The sequence below is a fragment of the Homo sapiens genome, chromosome 4, assembly GCF_000001405.40.
Source record: "Homo sapiens chromosome 4, GRCh38.p14 Primary Assembly".
Classification (NCBI taxonomy): domain Eukaryota; kingdom Metazoa; phylum Chordata; class Mammalia; order Primates; family Hominidae; genus Homo; species Homo sapiens.
Genome location: NC_000004.12, coordinates 87,527,083 through 87,537,044, shown reverse-complemented (window position 1 = coordinate 87,537,044; position 9,962 = coordinate 87,527,083). Strand labels below are relative to the sequence as shown.

Genomic DNA, 9,962 nt, shown 5'->3' with positions numbered 1-9,962 from the left:
TATAGAGATTAGGTATGTGAGTGTGACCCATGGATTCAGTCAACCTTCTCAGCAGGAGCCAGAAATACAAGTGGGTTTATCCAGGAAAATCTGTGCAGGACCTTCTTGTCTGATGGGCCAGATCCCCATGAATTGCATAGGAAACCAATAATGTTTTTAAGAATGTTATATCAGCAGAAATACTGCCAACCTGGGCTTCAAGAAACAGAGGCAGGATAAAATGAAGGCTGTAGGACTTTCAAAATTCTATATGACTGCGAACATGTGTTATCTGTCAAGGAAAAGAAAAAATGATTCCTGCTGGGCACAGTGGCTCACATGTGTAATCCCATCACTTTGGGAGGCCAAGGCAGGCAGATTGCTTGAGCCCAGGAGTTCGAGACCAGCCTGGGCAACATGGTGAAACCCCATCTTTACTAAAAACACAGCAATTCGCCAGGTACCATGGGACACATCTGTAGTCTCAGCTACTCCAGAGGCTGAGGTGGGAGGATCACTTGAACCTGGAAAGCGGAGGTTGCAATAAGCCAAGATCATGCCACTGCACTCCAGCCTGGGTGACAGAGTGAGATCCTGCCTCATTAAATAAATAAATATATAAAAATAAAAACGTGTCAATTGAGGAAAATGATGAGACAAGTCTCAATAATTTTAGGAGATTTATTTACTGAAGTTAAGGACGCGTCCGGGAGATAGGTCTATGCTTTTCTCTGAAGATGATTTTGAGGGCTCCAAATTTAAAGGGGAAAGGGTGGGATATTGAGAAGCACACAGTTTTCATGTAAGAGGGGTTAGGGAAAAATAGTCATTTATGCCTTTTCCTGGCTCCGTGAATCTACATTTTTTTACATAAGATGACATAAACAAAAAGGGCAGAGGAAAAATGTGGAGAATCTGCATTTTACATCAGATAACACAGACAAAATGGACAAAATGGGGTCAGGGAACAGTCAGATAAGCATTTGTGTCTGGTGGGCCAGAGCGACTGCACCTGTAAAGATAAGCTATCAATTTGCATTGCCATGGTAAAGTTATAAGAGCTCACTAGGAATTTCCTTGTGGGCAAAATATAAGGCGGGCATGTAGCTTTTCATCTTGTAGTCATCTTATTTAGGAACCAAAACGGGGAGGCAGGTTTGCGTGACCCAGTTCCCAGCTTGACTTTTCCCTTGTAAATGAGTTTGAGGTCCCAAAATTTAATTTCCTTTCACACATGAATAAATGACTCCTGTAATAGGCTGAATTGTGTCTCCTCAAAATTCATATGTTAAAATACTTCAGAATGTGACTATATTTAGAGATAAGGCTTTTAAAGTAACTAAGGTAAAGTCAAGTAATAAGAGTGGTCCCTAATCCACAATGACTGGTGTCCTTATAGGAAGGGATTAGAATACAGATACACACAGGAGAAGGACCACGTGAGGGCACAGCAAGGTGGTTATCTGCAAGCCAAGGAGAGAGGCCTGGGGAGAAACCAACCCTCCTGACACCTTGGCCGTGGATTTCCAGCCTCTAGAACTGGGAGGAAAATAAATTTCTTCTGTTTAAGCCACTCAGCCTGTGGTATTTTCCTATGGCAGCTCTAGCAAAGTAATACAACTCAGAAGATAGTTCAGGAACCGGTGGGGTTCCTGCAGGCCCCGAGGGCAGAGCCTCTGAGGGCCAAAGAGCAGCGCACTGAACCACAGAGGATTATTCTCAGGCCTGAAACATGATGGAATTTGGCCTGCTCTGTTTTGAACTTGCTTGGAACAAATGACCCTTGTCCACTTATGTATTCCTTCCATTTTCTCCATTTCAGAATGAAACTGTTTATACTATGCCATTGTATTTGGGGAGAGGTAACTGGTTTTCTAGTTTCATAGATGAGGAATCAGGATAAATCATACCAAGAAACTCACATACACCTGATTTAGATGATTTAGATGATGATATTTAGGACTTTTTGACTCGATGGTATTTAAATGAGATTTGGAATTTAGAGTTAATGCCGGAATAGGTTCAGAAATTTGAAATGGGTTAAGAATGGGATGGATGTATTCTGCGTGTGGAAAAGACATGAATTTTGGGGGACCAGAGAATGGACTATAATGTGTTGAATTGCTCCCCAAAAAGGTATGTTCAAGTCTTCATCCTTCATACCTGTGAGTGTGAGCTTATTTGAAAATAGGGTCTTTGCAGATGTAATCAAGTTAAGATGAGGTCACATTGGATTACGGTAAACCCTAAATCCAATGACTGGTGTCCTCACAAGAAGAGGGCACACAGAGATTCACAGGAGACCCACAGGGAAAGAAGGTCATGAGAAGAGGGAAGCAGAGACTGGTGTGATGCGGCTATGAGCCAAGAAATACCAGGTGTTTCTGGAAGCCACCCAGTGGAAGTCAGGAAGAGGCAAGAAAGTATTCTTCCCTATGGCATTGGGATGCAGCAGGTGCCTGCTGACACCTTAATTTCAGACCTTTAGCCTCTAGAACTTCAAGAAAATACATTTCTGTTGTTTTAAGCCACCCAGCTTGTGGTAATTTGTTATGACAGCCCAGGAAACTAATGCAAACCTCTTATGGCTCTATAGAACCACGTGATTGTACGGCACTAAGATAATCTAACCCTTTATATTTCTGTTATCCCAGTTGTCTCAATTATTTGTGTCTTTATAGGGCTGCCTCTTATTTTTGCCCTAATTTTCTCTCCCTTCCCCCCTTTATGTCTTACATCTGCCCCGCCGTGCTTTTCTTAAAACTTTGCTCTGCCTCTTCTATCTTCTTTTCTTCCTTTTTCCTAATACTTTTTTTCTCAACAGGGTCTCCTTCCATTCCTGATGAAAATCTATTTTCTGGTTCTCTTGCCTATACAGGGTCCATCCTCTGGATGGGAGGAATATACTCCCCATCCCACTGAAGTCAGCTGTGGTCAAATGACTTATGTTGATCAATGAAATGTAGGCAGAAATGATAAGTATTACACCCAGGCAGAAGCTTCACAAACCAAGCATATTTTGCTGTATCTGTTTTTCTTCTGCCAAGGGAATTGGTCCATCAGCCTACACTCCAGAATAAAGACATGTAACAGAATTGCAGCAGACCTGCAATAAACATGTGGCAAGAATAGAAAAAAAAAAAAATTTGTTGTTGTAAGCATCTGATATTTGGGGATTACTTGTTACTACAGCATAACATGTTCTTCTTACACTCCCTAACATTCAATGAGAAAACTTTCCAGATCTCCCTTTTATCTAATGAATAAAGATCAAACTGCTTAGCCTGATATCTAAAATCCACTAGTCCTGGCTGGGCACCGTGGCTCATGCCTGTAATCCCAGCACTTTGGGAGGCCGAGGCAGATCACCTGAGGTCAGGAGTTCAAGACCAGCCTGGCCAACATGGTGAAAAAATACAAAAATTAGCCAGGCGTGGTGGCACACGCCTGTAATCCCAGCTACTTGGGAGGTTAAGGCAGGAGAATCGCTGGAACCCAGGAGGCAGAGGTTACAGTGAGCTGAGATTGGGCCACTGCAATCCAGCCTGGGCGACAGAGTGAGACTCTGTCTCAAAAAATAAAAAATAAAAAATAAAATAAAATAAAATCCACTAGTTCTAACCTATCTTTCTCCTTTTAGTTTCACTTATTTTGCTTCAAAATTTATTACTAAAAAAAGCAATTAATTACATTACACGTTATATTTAATTTTGTTAAATATATAATGTGTAGTGTAATTTTGTGAAATATAATGTGTAATGTATAAACATAATGTGTAATGTGTAACATAATAATGTCCACATTATATTTAACAAAATATTGTGCACATTTTGCTACTGTCTTACTCGTTAATTGCTCTCTGTGTATCAAGCCTATGCCTAAGACCAAATAGAGGGTATGACTAAACCCATAGAAGGGCTGGCCTGGGAAAGGATAGCTAGAATAAACTCCTGCAAGAGTCCATAGTCAGAAAATGACCCAGAGGGTTAATAATCAACACAGAACTGAGAGATCTGAAATTGTTCAGTGTCAAGTTATGATGGTACTGTGGGGGTAAGGAAATTCCACAGGCAGAGATCAGTAACTCACCTGGAATTGAGACCTCAAGATGGGTCCCAGAAGCAAGACCCACAGAGAACTAAATATCAAGGTATTAAAAACATAATGGGAAAAATATTTTAAGTGTAATGGGGTGTTATGGGCTGAATTATTTCCCCCAAAATTCATAAATTGAAGTTCTAACCCCCATTGTCACTATATTTAGAGACAGAGCCTTTAAAGAGGTAAATTAAGGTTAAATGAAGACGTAAACGTGAGGATCTAATCCAACAGCACTGGCGTCCTTATAAAAAGAGGCAGAGACACCAGAAGCACACATGCCCAGGGGAAGGACTGTGTGAGGACACAGTGAGAAAGTGACCATCCACAAGCCAAGGAGAGAGGCCTCAGGAGAAACCAACCCTGCTGGCACCTTGATCTTGGACTTCCAGCCTCCAGAACTGTGAGAAAATTAATTTCTGCTGTTTAAGCCACCCAATTTGTGGTATTTTGTTACGCCAGCCCTAGGAAACTAATACATTGGGTAATCAAGGAAGAGGGTCCTACAGGCCAGGTCCTGGCCAAGATCAATACAGACACTCTGTTTTTACTGCAGCTTTTTCACTCACCCATACTTACCTCCTTCCTGGGGATCTCCACTATTCCAAAAGAATCATGTGACCTCTGACAATGAGCATATGCCTTGGCTCTTGGACTCCTAATAGGCAGGAAGTACATCTTTGATATCACCCAGAGGCTTCTGCTATATGTAACAAAGAAGTTCTGTATATGCTTGAGGATTAATTAACGTGTTCTCTGCTCCTTCCCCTGAATTAGGGGTTTTTAACTTCATAGAATCCCTGAGAGGATACTGGGGGGGAGTTTCATAGATGGGTTTTAGGAGCTTGCCCACAGCTTTCATCAGATTCTCAAAGGGAATCCTAACACTAAAAGGTAAAAAAAAAGAAAAAAGAAAATCCATTTAGATGTTGACATCTGTCACATCCTCTGACCAACAGTGATGTTACGTCTCTTCATGTACAGTAACATAATGAGCTTTTTGTCAAACTTTTCCCAACCCATTTGGACGTCTCATACGTTTTCTAAATCTGATCTGTAGCTCCATCTGTTAGGTGAGTATTGTTGCAGGTTTATTGTCCTCAGCTTTCTGAACTGTAAACTATTTTAGAAAAAACAGCTTCAGAAACAATGAGAGTTTGAATATCTGCCAACAAACATTTCCAAATAAAGCTATACTGAAAAGACACCGCGAATTCAAAGGCCTTTTTTTATTCATTTTTCTCTCTTGTTTTGTTGTAAGAAATACAGTGGGTCTTTATTAATCATGTTATAAATTAATAAGACCTCCAATAAAACTGAAAGTCAAAATTCTCAAGCTTTGCCACCTACAAATGAACTCTCTAGGTACCTATTTACATTTAAGAGATGAATCCAGTTTGCTTTAAGTAATTACTTTTTAGGTTAACACAGTTACATAAGAAAATTTATTTTGATCATTTTACAGAAGCATAAAATATCAATTTTAGCAGAAAAAAATTTTAGTCGGGTAACTTTTTTTCCAGAGCCCTTTAAATGAAATTTTTTTCTACATTCTCGTTGAATTGATGTAATCACCTGAAATCAATCTTACAAAGCCATCTTAAATAAATGGGGAATGCTAGTTAGAATAAGAAGTTAATATTTTGGGTCCCCAAGAAAATTTTCTTTAGCCAACTAAGGCCAAATCCTCAGAAATGCTTTTCTTACTTATTCTGCAATAGTCTCACTGCTCCCAAGCCCCTTGGGAGACTTGGAAAAATGGTCTGTGTCTTCCACACTTCTCAGAGCAGATGTGCACAGAGGATGTGCACACCAGGGAGAAGCATGGTCAAACACTGCCCACCCCTTTATCCTTCCTCCGAGGAGATTGCTCAACCCCTAGACCTTGGCTAAGGAAAAACATCCTATTGTCTGAGGCAAAAAGACATCAAGTCCTTTCATGCTGTCCTGGGAAAGGCGGTTTGGAACAAGTTATCCTGATTCTAGAGACGTGAGTGTTCCCAGCTGCACCGTGACTTGTTTTTGGCTCCTAGGCAAAGTGCCCAGTTTCCTCTGCTCCCAAATTTCTCCAACTGCAAAGTAGAGATAATCCTTGTTACCTTTTTCTTGCAGTGTTCTGAAAATAAATAGGGCAAATAATTCTAAAGTGTTTTGAGAGATTTGGCTGAGGGCATATTTGCCTAGAAATGTAGGTGGGGGTTTTTGGTTTATTTTGGTTTTATTTTGTTTTTGTCAGTGTTTTTGCTTTTGGCCAGACGTTGGCATGCATTTAGAAAATCTAAATTAAATTAAATTAAATTATAATTATTCATCTGATGATAATGGAACATTTACAGGATGCAAAGCACTGTGCTAGGCACCAGGAGAATGCAGAAAGGGCACATCCCCTTCCTTCAAGGAGTTTACAGCTTTCTCAGAAGCAGGTATGATATATATATGTGTCTATATCACATAATAGAGGGATTATAGATAAGTTACACAAGTGTGGCTGTCAGCCATGGTAGCTGATTTGGAATCCCATCCTGTAAGTTACAGTTGGATACCCTAGAAAAAACACCCTTACTAAGCTTTGGTTTCCTCTTATGTAAATGATAATAGCTAACATTTATTGAGTGTCTGCTACGTGGCAGGGGTGTTCTATGCAGTTTATCATGTTAACTAACTTAAAACTCAGAACAATTGCAGAGATAGATATTATCATCATTTCCATATGTATATCCCTGTCTTATAGATAAAAGCACTGATGCTTTAGAGAGGTTATATAACTTGTCCCGGGTCATAGTTAGGAAGTGGTGAAGATAGGATGCAAATCCAAGCTGGCTGGCCTCAAATTCTGCCAATCCAACCACTGTATGACACTACCCCTCAAATGGGAACACAGTAAAACTTACCATGCGTAGTGAGGATCAACTGATAATAACGCATAAAAAGCTGTTAGCACAGTGTCTGACACATAATAAATGTGTGATAAATGTAGAAGTAGCAGTAGAAGAGATTAGACACATACAAACAACCAGAATCCCGGGCCAAAAATAAGTGCACACCTCCATTCTTTTTATGGGAAACCTCCTTCTTAGATACCAACCATTATAACCATGGAGTTACAGTGGAGAGCTGTGTTGAGGGGAGAACTGCAACATTTCTGAATCAGCATACAAGTGATCTATAATATAAGGAGCAATCATTTTTATATATGTCCATTTCCAAATCTCATTCAAAGAAGGTTAAGGTATCTGAAGTACCCTTCTATTAAAATTCAGACTGTATTTGCTAGAACAATTTCCAATTGAGCAACGTAAAAATGCATCTGCTGCCATTTCTCTTCTTCCCTCCTTTAATCCCTACTCCCCAATTTCCTTTAGAAAGAAACAACAGCATGGAGTTTCTTTTCAAGGTCTTAAAATAAAAATCTCCAAAAAAGGGATGCTGCTTATAAAACCTTTCAGAGTTGTTTGAAAAAGAAAAAAAATGCATAAAGAGCCAAGTGCTTATATTCTGGCCAAGTTATGAGGCTCTGAGAACAAGAGCTTGAGGGGAAGACTGTTAACCCCATCCACGCCACCAGAATTAGCTCTTTCCCTTTTGGTTTGCAAGCACTGCCTGTAAAGCCCTCGCATGAGAGGCCAGCCTGCTAGGGAAATCCAGGAATCTGCAACAAAAACGATGACAGTCTGAAATACTCTCTGGTGCCAACCTCCAAATTCTCGTCTGTCACTTCAGACCCCCACTAGTTGACAGAGCAGCAGAATTTCAACTCCAGTAGACTTGAATATGCCTCTGGGCAAAGAAGCAGAGCTAACGAGGAAAGGGATTTAAAGAGTTTTTCTTGGGTGTTTGTCAAACTTTTATTCCCTGTCTGTGTGCAGAGGGGATTCAACTTCAATTTTTCTGCAGTGGCTCTGGGTCCAGCCCCTTACTTAAAGGTAAGTTGTAATAAATTTACGGCATTATCTAATTGCATTTGTTAAGCTGATTTGCGTGATCTGATAAAGCTGTCAAATATTTTTGCCTAAATAATACAAAGCCATTTATTTACCAAAAAAAGTTTTGTGTGATTTACAGAAAAGATACTTCATAGAGAATTTTACCATTTGTATTCATGTTTTCTTGTTTCCTGCGAAATTAAATAGCAAGTACTAATAAATGATGGTGATTTTAGTGAAGACCAAGAATAGAAATGTGGAACTGTTGATCGCCTCAGTAGCATTCAGATCTTAGTGAAGCCTGAATCCTGAAATGTGTTTTGTAGAAGTACTTTATTACATATATGAAATAAACTATAAAGAAGGTAGTTTTTAAAAAAAATTTCAAATCAAATAATTTGTATGTTTTCCATGTTTAAATTATCTAAAGTTATTCAATCTCCTGAGCCTAACAGCAATGTAGAAACGGAACTTTTTGCTTTTCCAAAAGGTAGGAAAATTTCTCCTTTTATACTATATTCTTGTTTGATTATTTTTAAGTTATTGCGATTATTTTCCCTTTCTTGGTTCCCTTTTACAGCTTTATAACTAATTATTTTTTGCCTCCTACTATCATTTGTTAAGATGCTCACACATAGACCTAAAATTTCTCTAATTCTTGATAATGTCTTATTTACAAAAGCAAAAATGGGAGAAGAGAATTAAAGAGCTAAAGAGATTATGGTAACTCATATTATAATGTACTACCATTTCTGGCTCTCTTTTCTAAAATAAAGCAATAATGTAGGTTGTGCTTATTCATCCTTCCCAGGTATTAAAGGTCACTCTGCAAGAGAAAAAAAGAAAAGAAAGGAAAAGAAAAGAAAAAAAAACATGCTTTTAACTGCAGATCAATACTGTTGAAACAGTACACCAAGAGGTACTGCAGAAAGAGTATCTCTTTTGCACTGCCTTTAATCTGCAAAGAGGTTAAATATGTCACCTTGGCATTGTATCTGAGCTCTCCTCTGGCCCAGGGCCTAAGCACATTGAATAGAAATGTTCACTCAGTCCAAGTCAGCAGAAATCTTTTTTTTTTTTATTCTCCCCTTTCTCGTAGACACCAGCTTTTTTCAGTTCACAGCTTACTCAGTCAAACCTGATGGTTGTGACTATTGTTAACTATGATTTTTTTTTTATTCAAAACACCCTCTTTGGAAAGATTTAAGTTAATATTTCTGTTCATTTAATAAGATCTAGCAAAGCAGAGCAGTTTATTTCATCTACTTATCGTCCAATCAACTAGTGCCACTTTCCACATTTTGGAGAAGAATATTCACATGTTATTTATGAACCTTGCCTTTTTCTTTCAGAGAATTTTTCACACAGCCATTGAGCAATTAGAGTGCTGGCATTTCCTTCCTAGGTCTTTTGAGATTTAATCCCCAGTAGCTCCTCATGGCACAGATTCACATATCAACTAAGTAAAAATAATAGTGATGACAGAAATAAAATGAATAGTGATGCATCTGGACAACTTGAAAACATTATTTATTTCATTTCCTCTTGACTGTTCTTTTTACTCAGTTGACTTAAACACTGCTATTTTACTTAAGTTTAGCACCATATCCAGAACTGGTTGGGAACATTTTTCTACCGAGAAGGGCATAAACAACTTGTTAGAAGATCTGAAGTGCACATAGTCCTCACTTATCCCTCTAGAATGATCTTCAGTGGAGAAGGAGACCCCCATAAATAAATCCAGTAGAACTTCCCAGTAGGCCTGGCTTCCTGAGAGATGTCCAACCAGGCCAGGGTCTGTTTCTTACGGGGCTCACAGGGCATCTTCTGCCAAAGGCTGAGTTAGCGATGATAGCATTACCTAGGGCTAGCCTGGCTTTTGTCTTAGTCATCAAAAGATGGATAGAACTTTGAAAAACAGAGTGCATGGTCTTGATGATTGTTCCAAAGGTGGGGAGGCAA

At 39.1% G+C, this 9,962-nt stretch overlaps 1 protein-coding gene across 4 annotated transcripts in view; it reads left to right on the top strand.

The window, feature by feature from the left end:
* The first annotated feature begins 7,668 nt into the window (after nt 1-7,668).
* SPARCL1 (SPARC like 1) overlaps nt 7,669-9,962 on the top strand; it is a 56,042-nt gene continuing 53,748 nt past the window's right edge. For all 4 annotated transcript variants that reach the window (NM_004684.6, NM_001291976.2, NM_001128310.3 and 1 more), the window contains exon 1: nt 7,669-8,000. The gene's annotated coding sequence lies outside the window, so the exon portion shown is untranslated. The remainder of the gene's footprint in view (nt 8,001-9,962) is intronic.